The sequence below is a fragment of the Homo sapiens genome, chromosome 20 (assembly GCF_000001405.40).
Source record: "Homo sapiens chromosome 20, GRCh38.p14 Primary Assembly".
Lineage (NCBI taxonomy): Eukaryota > Metazoa > Chordata > Mammalia > Primates > Hominidae > Homo > Homo sapiens.
Genome location: NC_000020.11, coordinates 17,603,184 through 17,618,097, shown reverse-complemented (window position 1 = coordinate 17,618,097; position 14,914 = coordinate 17,603,184). Strand labels below are relative to the sequence as shown.

General features: G+C 50.9%; 2 protein-coding genes across 5 annotated transcripts in view, besides 3 other annotated features; one reads left to right on the top strand and one right to left on the bottom strand.

The window, feature by feature from the left end:
* Positions 1 to 4,419, top strand: part of RRBP1 (ribosome binding protein 1) — a 68,564-nt gene extending 64,145 nt beyond the window's left edge. For all 3 annotated transcript variants that reach the window (NM_004587.3, NM_001042576.2, NM_001365613.2), the window contains 5 exons: positions 1,259 to 1,366; positions 2,089 to 2,172; positions 2,569 to 2,667; positions 3,218 to 3,361; positions 3,878 to 4,419. In NM_004587.3, coding sequence (NP_004578.3) covers positions 1,259 to 1,366; positions 2,089 to 2,172; positions 2,569 to 2,667; positions 3,218 to 3,361; positions 3,878 to 3,916 — 474 coding nt within the window. In that variant the 3' untranslated portion in view covers positions 3,917 to 4,419. The remainder of the gene's footprint in view (positions 1 to 1,258; positions 1,367 to 2,088; positions 2,173 to 2,568; positions 2,668 to 3,217; positions 3,362 to 3,877) is intronic.
* Positions 2,737 to 3,460: an enhancer, noted in NCBI's record as "H3K4me1 hESC enhancer chr20:17595283-17596006 (GRCh37/hg19 assembly coordinates)". NCBI's record gives its function as "activates a minimal SCP1, AML or CMV promoter by ChIP-STARR-seq in primed H9 embryonic stem cells {active_cell/tissue: H9 hESC(primed)}" and the evidence as "EXISTENCE:reporter gene assay evidence [ECO:0000049][PMID:30033119]".
* Positions 3,461 to 4,184: an enhancer, noted in NCBI's record as "H3K4me1 hESC enhancer chr20:17594559-17595282 (GRCh37/hg19 assembly coordinates)". NCBI's record gives its function as "activates a minimal SCP1, AML or CMV promoter by ChIP-STARR-seq in primed H9 embryonic stem cells {active_cell/tissue: H9 hESC(primed)}" and the evidence as "EXISTENCE:reporter gene assay evidence [ECO:0000049][PMID:30033119]".
* Positions 5,633 to 6,356: an enhancer, noted in NCBI's record as "H3K27ac-H3K4me1 hESC enhancer chr20:17592387-17593110 (GRCh37/hg19 assembly coordinates)". NCBI's record gives its function as "activates a minimal SCP1, AML or CMV promoter by ChIP-STARR-seq in naive H9 embryonic stem cells {active_cell/tissue: H9 hESC(naive)}" and the evidence as "EXISTENCE:reporter gene assay evidence [ECO:0000049][PMID:30033119]".
* Positions 8,179 to 14,914, bottom strand: part of DSTN (destrin, actin depolymerizing factor) — a 39,845-nt gene continuing 33,109 nt past the window's right edge. For both annotated transcript variants that reach the window (NM_001011546.2, NM_006870.4), the window contains 2 exons: positions 13,467 to 13,543; positions 8,179 to 11,061 (listed from right to left, as the gene is read on the bottom strand). In NM_001011546.2, the coding sequence (NP_001011546.1) occupies positions 10,952 to 11,061; positions 13,467 to 13,543 (187 nt within the window). In that variant the 3' untranslated portion in view covers positions 8,179 to 10,951. The remainder of the gene's footprint in view (positions 11,062 to 13,466; positions 13,544 to 14,914) is intronic.

Below are 14,914 nucleotides of genomic sequence, written 5' to 3'. Positions count from 1 at the left end.
CACGCCCGGCCCCATACCAGCTGCCGGGTGCAGAGAGCAGCCCCCTTGGCAGACCACTGGAGCTCTGCCTGTGCAGGTGGCCTCTTGAGTCCCTCCTGGTGTTCAGCTCAGGTGTCTGATGCCAAGTCCCAGCTCCTTGGCAGGCTCCACCCAGCCTCACCGGATCTGGTACCGCCCCAAGGCTGGTGTTGTGAGCAGCACCCTGTGAGGCCGCAGACATGTTCTGTTTGATCTGCGGTGTTTTTTTAAATCTTGAATTAGTTGTCAACAGGGAGAAATTGGGAAATTTTAAATAAAAATGGGCTGGCATTCCCCCTGCAGCAGCCAGTGAGTCCGGCACACGCTCCCAACACCCTCGGTCCCCCTTGGTCATTCAGGTCTTACCCGGACCAGAACACCAGAGGGCAGTGCTGCCTAGGCCAGGTCTCCTCCTGTGTCTAGGGGCCACTCACTGAAGCCTTGGCTGAGCGAAGTCTGGGTGACAGGCCCCGGGGGCATGGCCCAGGCCGGGGATGTGCAGAGAAAACCCCCTGGAGTTTCTGTTGTCTTCCAGCTGTGCAGTTCGTTATTTGCATTGGGAGGGGCTGTTCAGAGGGAGGGAAGAATGTCTGGGGTTCCCACGTACCTGGGGTGGCCCCTCAGCGCAGGGTCAGAGACCGCCCATGTTCCCTGGGGAGCTTATGCCAAGGGCCCCACCTGGGTCTCCAATTGGAACCTCTACCTGAGCCTCTCGAGTGACACCTGCCCTTCAAATTGCAGGCCCAGTGGTTTGGGTGCAGCCAGATATGCCACCTAACCCCAGTGATGGAGCGTAGGGGTGGGGGACCTTGTTAGGCAAGAATGTTATCTCATAATCTTTTCTAGACCCCGGAAAGGGCTCTGAGCAGTGGACTGCATCCTTGAAGGAGAAACGGGGGGTGTAGACAGTGTGGCGGCCACCCCCCGGTTCCATTCGGATTCCTTTGCTCTGTGGGCCATGCCCATCAGGGGTCACCTCACTCCCAGGGAGGGCTCCCCTCCGGTTGGGCTTGGAGCAGAGCACATTGGGTCTCATTAGCCCAGAGGCTTGGTGGCCTTGGTTTGGCTCAGGTTGGCGGCGGGGGTGGCCAGACATAGGTCACAGTTACCAAGCCAGGTCCCCTGAAGGGACTTTGGCTGTTGAGAGCAGCTACGGTCCTCCGAGGGGGTCCCTGCAGGAGTGAGCATGGTGGGTGTGCGACTGGCTGTGCATTTGCAAACACACCCCTTCCTGTTCCAGGTCAGGCAGCAGTTGAGTGAAATGAAGAGCCACGTAGAGGATGGTGACATAGCTGGGGCCCCAGCTTCCTCCCCAGAGGCGCCCCCAGCCGAGCAGGACCCCGTTCAGGTTAGGGCGGTGAGCTGGTCCCCAGACACATCACTAATCCCAGAAGAGTGCAGGCCCTGCTGCCTCCGTTCGGACTAAACCCCGCACTGGCTGCTCCAGCCTCCGCTGCTTCCCCACCCCACCCTGCTTTGCCCCATTTGGATCATCCAGGTTCGGAGAAAGCCACAGAGCATGGAACAGAAAGGTGGCCAGGTGGAGAGGCTGGAGGAGTTGGGGGGAGGTGGGACTCGAAGAGGGAGTCCGTGATTTGGGGTCTGCACCTACAGGGCTCAGGAGCAGCTCTGGGCAGGGTCTGCAGCCATCGAAGGGGACTGTCTCCCACTGCAACCCCGGCTGGGACATCGCTAGCAGGATATTCGCTCTCCAGAGTTTTGAGCCCGGCAATAGCCACCAAGAGTCCTCACCAAGAGGCAGGGCCTGTCCCTGGGGTGGCCATGGTGTGGCTGTTAAGGGGGTTGTCATGGGGCCAGGGCTCGGAGGCATCGTTCTTGTCCTGTGAGTCTCGTTAAAGGCCCCTGAGGTTGCAGAGGCCCCATCAGCTGCTCCTGAGCCACACCGAAGTCTGTACCAGGGGCTGAGGTGCCCTCTCCCCAACGAGGGGAGCGTTGGGGCAGGGAAAGGGGAAGCTAGAAGCAGCTAGAGAGCGGTGCCTGTGCTGGATCCCTGGGCCCCTGGAGGGTTCCTCACCGGGCTGCCGGGTTATGTTTGCGGTGTTTGCACAGCTGAAGACGCAGCTGGAGTGGACAGAAGCCATCCTGGAGGATGAGCAGACACAGCGGCAGAAGCTCACGGCCGAGTTTGAGGAGGTCAGGCCCTGCCTGGTGGCTCTCAGCCCCCATCAGCCCCTGGGCCCTGAGTCTCCAGGGAATGAGTGGGTCAGCCCTGCCCCGCTCGGCTGTGCCCAGCAGCACCTGGGCTGGGCCTGGGCCTTCTGGGCAGCAGTGGGTGGGGCCCGGGCAGGTGGAGCACAGGCTGGAGGCACCTTGGGAGCCCTGTGGGTGGTCTGCATCCCTGAGGAGCCTTGAGGGCCTGGGGCTGGGTCAGAACTTGTGGGTCTGGCCCACTCATTCCAGCTACAGGATGGAGCTGTTGCTCCATCAGGCTGGGGGGGCCCCCTGGTCCCCAGGCGTGCTCGGTAGGGTCTTGACAGCACAGCCGTTTATAAGACGTCTCACCCAGACCTCACTTCCCTCTCCGGCAAGGCTCAGACCTCGGCATGTCGGTTACAAGAAGAATTGGAGAAGCTCCGCACAGCCGGCCCCCTAGAGTCTTCAGAAACAGAGGAGGCCTCACAGCTGAAGGCAGGCAGGGGCTGGGGCGGGGGTCACACCTGGAGGGTCTGCTCTGGGGCTGGCGCCACTCTTGGCCTCGGAAAGGGGCCAGGAAGGGGAGAGCCGACCCCACCGGGACCTGCCCTTGGCACTGGTTCCCCTTGTCACTACCCGGGGCTGGGGTGGGGACTCCTAGCCCTGCAGTGTCACATGGTCACATGGCAGCCATTAGTCCTGGTGGCTGTCGAAATGTGAAGCATGTAGAACGTGAAGTGCGTTCCTCAGCCACACGTCCAGCGCTCAGTAGTCAGGTGTGTCTCCTGTGCTGCCTTGGACAGTGCGGAGTAAACTGCTCCTGCCCCAGGAAGTTCTGGTGGTGCTGAGAGCACAGGACCCAGCCCTCACGGTCAGCATGGGCGGTTTCCTCCCTGTCGTCACCACCTATCTCCGGGTGACCAGGAGTTGCCTTCCTTGTGTCCCCAGAGGGCTCCAGCCCCTGGCGTCAGGGTCCTGTGGGCATAGCTGGGGTGGCCCTCCTGCCGGTGCAAGGGCTGATGCCCGTCAACCTTCTGACCATCAGGAGAGACTAGAAAAAGAGAAGAAGTTAACAAGTGACCTGGGGCGCGCCGCCACGAGACTGCAGGAGCTTCTGAAGACGACCCAGGAGCAGCTGGCAAGGGAGAAGGACACGGTGAAGAAGCTGCAGGAACAGCTGGAAAAGGCAGTGCGTGCCTGGCGCCAAAGCAGGGCGGGAGGAGTCGAGCTGCCGGGAGCCCCGGGGAGGCAGGACCGGGAGAGGCAGAGCTGGGCGGAGTCGTCAAGCTGCTGGGAGCGCTGGGCTGGGAGCCCCAGGGGAGGCAGAGCTGGGCGGAGGTAGTGGGGACAGAGACTTCCTAACGAGGGCTTCAGCCCACCCGGCCCACCACCCACCCTTCTGGGGTTCCCTTGCTGGGAAGCGAGTGTCTGATCCCCCTGCTGGCCCAGGTCCTCACTTTGCACCTGTGTGGGCCCCTTAGCCAGTGCTCCAGCCCCTGCCCTGCAGGATGATGGTTTCCCCTCAGCTCCCACCAAGTCCTCCCTGTCCCCCAGCCCCAGGGGTCTGTGGCTCCTGTTCTCTGAGGGACTGGAGTGGCTTGAGGGGGTCAATCCAGGGAGGGACTAAAGGCCCAGGGTAGAGGGCAGGTGGTTCTGCCATGGCTCGTGGCCCAGCCCCCCTCACGCCACCTGCCTTCGTTCACAGGAGGACGGCAGCAGCTCAAAGGAGGGCACCTCTGTCTGAGTTTCCTCTTTGGAAAAAGAAGTTACTGTTCAACTTACCAAAATGCCTTACACATTCCTTACAAATAAACCAACCAACCTACACAGCGTTATCCAGGCCCAACTTCCGGTAGCTCCGAGAGAAGCCATGAGAGACAAGTCTCTTAGAGCCACAGAAGTAGACCTTCCAGAGCCCCAGTTTGTAAATGAACCTGTGTCACATTTGATAAACACTATCCTGGGCGCAGCCCCGGGCCACCGCCGAGTGACGCCAAAGCCCTGGTTGACTCTGACAGCCCCGTGGGTGTGTGGGAGGCCGGGCGCTCTGGGGTCTGTCTGTCAGTGCAATCGTTTAGTGTTTTTTCAGTGGGGCGGGGCGGGAAGCGGGTGGGACCGGGCAGCCAGTTCTCAAAGGCTGTGGGGCCGACTGGAGGCCACAGCCCCTCACCCCTAGACGTTGCCAACCAGAACTGACGTGTGACCTCCTGGGTGTTGATGCCATTAAAACCAACGTTGGTGCCCGGTGCTGCGGTCTCGTCTGGTCTTCTGCTGGGGCTCCCCCACCCGCTGTTGGGCCCAAGATGAAGAACCAAGGGGTGGGGGCGCACTCGGGAAGAGAGTAAGCGTGGGCCTCAGCTGCTTTGAAGGCAGAGGCTCTGCAGCTCCGCGTAGCGTGGGGTGGGGCTGAGACTCGCTGCTTCCGGGGCCCCCAGCAGTTTTCCTTGTCACCTCCCAGACCTCAGTGCCCTCCGGGCAGGATAAGGGAGCAGGGCCTGCGACACCTGAGAGCCAGATACATTTACTGCTGCCCCGCATCCCGGAGGGGCTGAGGTTTGTGAGCGCGGCTGGTGGCCCGGGCTGTTGCGTGATGGAGGTCCGGGAATGAACAAGGGGTCTCTGTCCTGGCTGGGGCTTAGACACCCACACCCCAGGAGGGTGGGCCAGGGCTGGAGCAGCCCACTGCCTGCCCTCGGGAGGTGGAGTTTCACCTGCAGAAACCAGCTTAGGTTTGCCACGACCCTCAGACCCAGTGTCCTCAGCGGCCCCTGACAGCATGGTCTTTGGCCCCAAGAAGTGTGTCCCTTTGAGTGTAAACAATAGGAACCTGGAGCTTAGTCCACAAAGACGTTCAGAGGCTCAGAGTCACAGTAGGGCCCCAACCAAGCCCGGAATGGAAGGCGGGTCTGCCTTGACCAAGGACTGTTCACTTTAATCTCCCTGCCAAGCCTCGGAATCTTGGGAGAGGGTCTGCTTGGCCGAACTTGGCTGGGGGACAACTGGGCTCTTGGATGGCAGGTCCTCCAGGACGACATTGTGAGAAGGGTTCTGTCAGGGACAGTGGCAGCAAGAACCGGGGTCTCCACAGGCCTATGAGCTTGGCAGGTGGCCTGCTCTGGGATCTCTGTCGTGCATGGCCCCTTCAGGTGGTGGCAGTGACTCGGATGGTTTTCACAACCTCAAGACCAAGGGAAGCCCCGCGGTGTGCGTCTGTGTGCCTCCCTTCCTCAGCCCCCCACACGGCCTCTGCCTGCAGCCTTGAACTGCTTAGCCTCAAACTGCTCGGCCCAGACCTTATGTCAGTTCTCAGGAAGTGCCTGTGGGCCACCCAGCTATGGTATGTGGCACTGTGCGTCATGGCTGTTCTGGGTGCTGGGAGTCCTAGGAAGGCCCCTGGAGAAGTGGGCTTAAGCTGAGCTCCCAGGAAGAGCAGATGTGTGTGAGGTGAGGGAGGCTGGCACTCAGGCAGCAGCAGCGTAGAGGCGTGGAGGGCGGGGTGAGGCACGGCCTGTTGTGGAGCCAGGTTACCAAGACTGGGGGGCCCTGGACTGGGGAGGCAGTACAGCCACTGAGGTTTCTGAGCAGGGAGAGCCAAGCCTGCCTGTTTTAGAATTCTCTAGAGGAGGCTGAAGCAGAAAGGGATCCCACGGTCTTGGGACATTGACATCCTGGCTTCTGGCTGGGAGACTGAGTAGCAGGAAGTGCCCACAAGGACACCTGATGGCTGCCCGTTTCCCGCCCTGTGCCTGGCGCTCAGCGAGCCCTCGGTCCTCCCGGTGAGGTGCATCCTGCCCCATGGAAGTGAAGGTACCTCCCCGGGCTAAAGGCTGGGCAGGTTCAAACCCATCTCTCTGACACGTGGCTAGGCCCCGCAGCCTGGGAGGTCAGTGCTTGTGGGGCAGGGCTGGGCTCTGCAATGTGGGGAGCCTGGGGAAGAACACCCTGGGCTGAGCGCCCCGCAACAGCCACTGGGCCCCCTGCATCCGCGCCCCATGCATCTGGTACAGGGGGCTGAGTGGGAGCACAGGTTCTGGGTGAGGGAGGCCGCCTGCAGGAGGCAGAACTCTGCACGTGGGTGGCTGTAGGTCAGGTCAGTGGTGTGGGCCCCGGTGAGTGTGGGGAACGGACAGACCTGTGCCAGGGCTGCCACCGAATCGCCCCCTCGACCTGCCACACTGCGAGACTGAGCGCTCCATGCTGGGCTGATCCCCTCTGAAGGCACAGGAATGGGGCAGGGGTACCCATTTTGAGCAGCGGAAAGGGGAGACCTTGGGGAAAGAGACAAGGGATGCTGGGGTGCCACGCTGCCGCCTCTGGGTTGTGAGGGGCAGTGGCCTCCTCCTGGACTCTGGCTAAAAGCCTGCTCCTTCAGGCCACCTGCTGGGAGCCCCAGGTCTGTGCATGCAGAAGGGAGGAAGCCGAAGGCAGGTAGCACAGGGTGTAGGACTCCTGTGCGGCTGGCCTGGGAGTTCAGGAAAATGCCACTTGGGAGCTTTTCTCCTGCAGCTCGTTCTAAGGGCCCATCATCTGTTGTCCCCGCCTGCCCCAGCAGGGCCAGAGCAGTCCTCAGGCCCGGCAGTGGTACCTCCCAGGTGGGCAGAGGGAGCCTGAGTCTGCCAGGCCACCGGCTGGGCCCTGCCTCAGGTGGGCCGGGCCTCCTCAACTGTCCCAGGCCAGGTTCCATGTCAGGCTCCAGGGAAGCCAGCTGAGGCGCAGCCCTCGCAAACTTCCTGCGGAAGGGGCTAGCAGCACCCCCCCAGCCCCACAGCATTCCCCAGCGTGGCACAGGTCACTGGCCTGGCCATTCGCAGCCCTGTCCTGCAGCTGTAGCCGAGCTCAGGCAGCACCAGAGGACTGGCTTGTGCTGTTCTTGGAATGAAGTTCACCGTGGAGGCAGGACTCACCCAGCTGCTGCCCGACAGAGGAACCACTGCTCCTCCCTGGCCCAGCTTCACAAAGCCAGACCCTGGGTTTGGGCCGCTGGGTGAAGATGGATCAGAGCCCACAGAGTAGATGTGAAGTTCCAGGTTAACATGGCCCATAGACAGCACAACAAGACCTGAAGCCCCTCACAGACAGCTGCGCCCTGACCAGCTTCCTCAGGTGTCTCCATGTGATATTCTGGAACACACAGGCACCACGATGCTGCGCCTGCAGGCCACACCTACGGAAGCGGTGCAGTGAAGGCAGGAAGCCAGCGAGGCCTGAGGGACAGGTGCGGGGAAAGCGAGGTTTTGTTCTAGAAGCCACTCCACGCCCTCCACAGATGCCATCACTACACTTCCTTCAGGGCTGGGTCTGATGAGAGCTCAGAGTGCAAAAGAAATGCTTTCCTTCTTGGCCCTTTCAAATCTCACCCCAGCACTGAACAAGGTCTAACCTTTGAATTTCAGATGTTAGAAATGTGGAAAGATGATCCAATTATAATAAGAGGAATGAAGTGAATTCTCCTGAGGTGGTGGAAATAGCTCAGGAACAGAAACCAAGAGATCTGAGTTTTTGTCCCAGTTCTGCCACTTGTGAGTCGATTAACCTTAGGCAAGTTAATTCACCTCTGGGCTGGTTACTGAGGGTACTGGCCAGAGGCTCCATAAGTCCCTTCCCCAGTGCCCTTTTGGGACTGTGCAGAACCCAGAGAGCCCTCAGTAACAAAACGGTACTCAAGCCTGCCTTCCACTGAAACCCTGGCTCCTGGAATACTCCCCTCACCAGCCATAATGCCATTACTGTCCCTTCCAGCTGCAGTCCAGCTGGAACCCAGTCTAGAGCCCGTTCTCAATTTCAGAAATGCCCCAAATCACGAAGAAGTGATGCGTGTTGGGCATATTCAGTCTCTGGTGGTCCGAAGGGCAATTATAGTCAAGAAACAAGTTGCACTTGCTGTGCCTGCGGCAGCCGGTACTCTGCAGAAAGGAAACCACCAAACCAAACCTATTATCCAAGTCACTGTGTCCACTGTTTTTGCAGAGTAATATTATCTGAGATAACTTCACAGTCAAGCTCTGATTGAATTGTTAGCAATGGCTTTATTTGCTGCTTTGTCAGGGCAAGAGAGTAACCGCTAGATGAGACTAAGTCAGCTTTCCACAAACATATTTTTGCAGTGTGTTAGCATTTGTGAAGAGGTAAACGTATTTTCTGGAAACAGAGTATACTTGCAGTTTTGTTCCTGACCAACAGTAGACCAATCAGCTGAGGTCTGAACCCTAATTATGTACCAGAATCGCCTTGAGTGCTTGTTAGCACAATTCTTGGGCCTCAGGAATCCACTGAGACTTTCTCAAAAGTTCCCCTAGAGACTAACTACTAGCATTTTATTCAATTTCTGGAGTGAGTTCTGGATGCTTACATCACATCCCTTTGTACTGTTTGAAATCCTTCCCACAGAAGACACCTCACACACGCACAACAGTGCCACACTTAAGCCAACACCACAGGAAAAATCTCCTTCTAAAACTCCTTGACCAAATATCTTGCTTTACCTACATGGCTGACTTTTGAGTACGGCAGTCTTGGGCTTATGGCACTTCCCTGGAGGCCTGTTAATCACAATCACTAGCAGGACACAGTGGCTCACACCTGTAATCACAGCACTTTAGGAGGCCAAGGCAGGAGGCTTGCTGGAGCCCAAGAGTTCAAGGATGCAGTGAGTTATGATTGCACCACTGCACTCTAGCCTGGGGGAAAGAGTGAGACCCTGTCTCAAAAAACAAAACCCACACTAAAAGCATTGCTACAAAGTAAAGAAACAAGCAATTCAGGATGAATGACAAGCAGCCAGCACTATTTTCTAGACAATTCCAAAATATTTTGATTAAAGCATAATCTTGTCTCACAAACACCTGGCATGTGGATCAACATTAAAATGTTCCCCACCCTAGACTGCACTTAAACCTAGTGGCATAGCCTACTACACACCTAGGCTGTATGGTAGAGCCTATTACTCCTAGACCACAAACCTGGACAGCACGTTACTATACTGAATACTGTCGGCAACTGTAACACAATGGTATTTGTGTATCTAATTACAGTAGAAAATACATTATAATTGTATGGGACCACCATAGTATATGCAGTCTTTGACATGTAATAATGCACAGCTGTGTATCAAAATGCTAACCATGTGATGGCATGTGGTAGGACAATGTATAATTTCCCTTTTCTCTATTTTCTAAATTTTAAATGTGAATTTATAATTTTGTATAATATTTATTACACTTATAGTGTAATAAACATTGAAAACGTTCCCAACTTTTACACCAACTTTCTTATTCACCAGAGGGAGTTGTGACTTTTTTTTTTTTTTTTGAGACAAGGTCTTGCTCTGTCATCCAGGCTGGAGTACAGTGGCACGATCTCAGCTCACCTCCTGGGCTCAAGTGATCCTCCCACCTCAGCATCCAAAGTAGCTGGGACTACTGACGTGCACCACCACACCCGGCTAATTTTGTTTATTTTTAGTAGATGAGATCCCACTATGTTGCCCACGCTGATTGTCAAACTCCTGGCCTCAAACTATCCTCTTGCCTCGGCCTCCCAAAATGCTGGGATTACAGGAGTGAGCCACCACACTCAGCCAACCTTAACTCTTAATTATTGGAAATACCCAAACCTCAATGCCTTACCCCATATGGAAGGCAAAATCCTGTATTCCCAATTCACACATGAAAATTACACGAGAGGTAAGTCAAAAATGCTTCCTTTATTACATAAAGCCAATACTGCTACTTCTAAGTTCAACTGTTTGTGCATCTCTATATCGTTCAAAGTGTTACGCCCGTGATATTAACAATGACCGCTTCCAAGTGTCAGTGAACAGTGGCTCCCTGTGAGTGTCATCATGGTACCTCTCCCCATTGCACACAAGTCAACAAACTGCTCTAGAAAGTTAAGTTCTCCCAGGCCCAGAGTAAACATATACTCAATATTCTTCCATACTTTATTATACCATAAGAAGCAAACTTCTGAAGGAGATACAATTAAAGATACCACAGGTGTCCTAGCTTGTCAATATTCTGTTTTATCATTTTCATTAACAAAGCAGATTACAATGTAGCCCTAATTTGCATTATAATTAGTTGTTACAAGACACTGCACATTCTCCTGAAGACACACAATGATTTCCAAGATGCCAGGTCACTCTTCCAATCAGTGAATGGCGAGCTCACTGGCAGGTGCAGGGCTACTTCCTGTATTCCAATGATGTGCCTGAAATAGCGCTTTGCAAGATGAGCGTGGATTATGTGGACACAATTTTGAGGCAATCTCCATTACACATTTGGTAGAAGACTGCCTAACTTAATCTTACTATTAGTGTATTAGTGTTGTTATATTATGAAGACATATTATATTCCATTATTCTGCTTAGCTCAAGGAAGAATAAAGAATTTGGACCAAAATTATAACCAGATTATGAGCAATTTCCTAAGCAAAAGAAACAAAGTAAATGCTGAGGTTAATAAAGATGTAATAATTCTCTTCACATGGCCTTTACTGTTTGTGAACTGTGTAATTTAAAATCCTGAGCTTAACAAAAATCTTTATAAATCAACTCATCAAAACAGGCATTTGGCCAATAAGAATTTAATTTCACATCAATAAAACTTTAGACTTTAGATTTATTTAGGGCTGTTTGCATATGTTTATAGAATAGTTTACTCTAAAAGATGACAAGACAGCTCCCCCTCAGTGAGACCCTGGCCTAAATATATTTGCTTTATTTATATAGCAAGAGGATAACATTAAACATGGAAGCTTTCAATTTGTGGCACTGAATAATCTACACAGGGCATCCTTCAAAGGCTACAATTAAGGATCCACCTAACTTTTCAGCAATACAAGCCCGATTGAGATCTTCTGGTCCATTTGCTTGACATTCATGTTTTATGCCTAGAGAGAAAAAACAACACTTCTATTTACAATTATGGCAGCAGTTTACCTCTTTCTCTAAGATAACCAAACTTTTAAAAGACCAGTTCTAATCTGGATAAACTGGGGTATATACAAACACGGAATACTACACAGTAACGAGAAAAAATAATTGTAACTACATGCATCAAGATAGATGGGCCTCACAAACAGCATTCACTGAAAGAATCCAGATTTAAAATGCATATATTCTATTATATATATAGGTATAGCATACAAAATCAGCCCACGCTAACTTACGCTGTTAGAAGCCAGGGTGCTGGCTACTTTGAGGAGGAAGGGGCAGGCAGAAGTGCTATGAATTGAAGGGAACAGCACCAGGGAGGCTTCTGGGGTGCTGGTCATTAGATTAAGAAATAACCATTATGTTCACTCTGAAAAATTCAACACATTCTACAATAATTTGTGACATACACTTTTCTAAAGATATGTTGTACTTTGCTAAAAAGCTAAAAGGCAGGTCTAGTAAGAAAATTTTCTTGGTTTTTAAAACATAAAAATACAAATGATTTTTGATTGCACAGTTGATTTTGTCAACTGTATTGAAAAGTAAACAGCTGGCTCTTCAATGGTATTACACTACACATTTATGAAATCGATCACAATGAAAACTATGTGAAATATGTTACTGATTGCTTTCTTAGAACAATTACACTACCACAATGCAAAAACGAGCTCAATTATGGATTACATACAGTAGCTTCTCTGTAAATGGCCACTGTCTTTTAAATAGCTGCATGGTTATTCCCATCATTTAAAGACCATTATTTCTCAAGCTGCTGAAAGCACAGCAGGTCAGCTTTTGAACTACTCAGGACTGATCTGAGAAAGACAGTGGATGCTTTCATTAGAAAAAAGGCAGCATGGTCACTATCTTTTTTTTTTTTTTGAGACAGAGTTTTGCTCTTATTGCCCTGGCTGGAGTGCAATGGTGCGATCTCAGCTCACTGCAACCTCTGCCTCTTGGGTTCAAGCATTCTTCCTGCTTCAGCCTCCCAAGTAGCTGGGATTACAGGCATGTGCCACCACGCCCGGCTAATTTTTTTTTTGTATTTTTAGTAGAGACAGGGTTTCACCATGTTGGTCAGGCTGGTCTCGAACTCCTGACCTCAGGTGATCCACCTGTCTTAGCCTCCCAAAGTGCTGGGATTACAGGCATGAGCCACCACACCCAGCCGGCCACTATCTTTTAGTATCACCAAATCAAGTGTGCAAAGCAATTCCCTTTACTGAAAGGCAATGCAGAATAAAGATAATAAGGAATCCACTGTGAACCTTTTGGTTGGGCTGGGAAAGTGTTGAAGCTAAAGGATTTAAAAGTGTCAGTTAGCAACCCAGTGACACACTTCTGGGGGTTGCCAAACATCAAACCAAATGCACGAAGAACCTGACCCAGCAATAAACTATGCAGCAGCAAGGCTCGGGAAAGGAAGCAAGAATTTTTTTTTCCGAACTAAGTAAAACAGGCTAGGGCAAACCTGTTCTACCATGAAAATATAAAAACCAGTGACAGTAAAACAAACAAAACAAAATCAACATCAGGCCAAGCCCTTGTGACCTTGGCTCACTCAGCTGTTTGGAAACAGCCATGGCAGGAAGGTGGCAGGGCAAACTCTTAAACTAAAACTCACACATGAGACCAAGTCTCCCCTTCTACAGCTGAGAGAATCAAGGCCCATGGAGGTTAAGCAGTTCTGGCCAAGGCCACACAGCAGTTAGACAGGCTTCGCCCTCAGTGCAGGCCTTTGGGCACTTGCCCCATGCACGTTCTTTCCATCATACCAACATTTTCTCCTGGCTGAAGTCTGGCCAGGCCATCTCATCAGGATCCCAATCACCCAGTGGCAAGTCAAATACAACTGACCAGCTCAGGAGTGGGTGCACTTTCCTTGGGACACAGATGAATTAATTACCTAAAATCATGCCATTCAACAGTAAAGCTGGAGAAAAGAGCATCCTTTCTCATTTAGGTACATTTCCTTTTTGCAACTTTATTATAACAACTACATTCAAAGGCAAGAGCAAATTTACTATTATGTCCAATGTTAAACAATCAGTCTCCACCTCCTACATGAGAAAACTGGTAGCACCTCAAACTAGTTTAAAACCAGCCTGAATAAACGATATATATAGACAATGTCAAGGGTATAGTTATTAAACACAGGCTGGGCAGACCCAGAGCAACCAGCACAAAGCAGAAGATACATGGAAAGTCAAATTCAGTCTTCTGCTTTTCTCAAAACAAGTAACACTTCTCCCTTGTGCCCGAAGCTCTGCAAAAAAATAAGGTGCTTCTCAGAAAAGGTGCTGCCCCATTCTGAGTGTTCACCATACCTCTACATATTCAGAGGTCATCTAGAACATACCTTGAAATTTCTTTTTAATTGCATCCTTGGAGCTTGCATAGATCATTTTACTTTTCAGAGGTGCTAGTTCTGGTGCCCTAGATAGAAAGATGCCAAAAATGAAAAAAGTGGTTTAGAGAAAGTATAACTTGCAACTTGTTAAACATTTGCTTGTGTAAACATTTGCTGAGAATCCTCAGACTCTCCTGAGATATTTTTTCTTAACTGCACATTTTTTCTACCTCCCCAGCAGCTCAGAGAGGAAATGCTACAGATAGGCATATGCAGAATCACTCAGGTTGACCAGGGTGGGAAAAAAGAAGAGAACCACTGGTGGCAAAAGACAATCACCAATTAAAAATCAGATTACAGTCGCCATAATGAAAGAACCAACACTGAGTACTTCACTGTATAACCCAATTCTTTTTCTTCAGAATATTTTTCATTATTATTAATAAGGGATTGGATTCAGGCTAATATTTACACAAGGTTTTTGACAGTTTTTCTAGTTGGAAAAAAGTTTTAAAATACATAAAAGTACAGAGAATAATCCGTAAGTACGTGTGACCCAGAATTAAATGCTAATATTTTGGCACCTTTGCTTCAGATTGTTTTCTAAAAAAGAATAAATCAAAAACTTAAAAAAAAGGACAAAAAAGAATAAATTACAAATAAAAGTCCTTTTCTTAGACTTCCCCAGTCCCTTCATCTATTCCAATAGCAGGTTTTGATCCCACAGGTACTTGTTTTCTTAGTCTAACATAACAATACATGTTTAATTACAGATCTGGGCATCCACGTTTCAATAATTCTCTGGAAAAAAATATTAAATCCACTTGTATAATCTCATGATTCTAAAGATTTCTAAATGGCAACTCACCAATAATTATGTCTTAACTGTCAATATTATTACTATCTTTTTATATTTATAACATTGGAGCACGTTCTCCCTCTTGAAGGGAAGCGTGTTAGAAGCACAGCATATGTGTCACAGCACCTTCAGCAGCAACACTGAAGAATAAGGATGATTAGTAACGGACAGAAACCCTCCCACTCAGACTGCTTGCACGGAGGTCCTTCTTTCCTCTGTACGCCAACCCATAGGCCCACCTCCATGCCACACTGCTAAAATATCACAGAGAAGATGCAGTACAGTAAGTCCACACTTAACATTGTCAATCAGTTCTTGGAGCCTGTGACTTAAAACAAAATGACATATACCAAAACCAGTATTTTTTTTTCTCAATGTTATAACAAAACTACATTGAAAGAAATGACGTTATTTGAGGACCTGGTGTATGTTGTTTTGCTTAAAGCTGTAGTTTCCAAGAGCCTACTGGAGGTCATTAAGATATTACGGTATAGCTAAATACTTCTGAGCATTTAATAATTCCATTTAGCTGCCATATTTCCAGGACATTCAACAGCCATGAGCACTGGCATGTGGACCTCACCTAGTGTACCCCTTA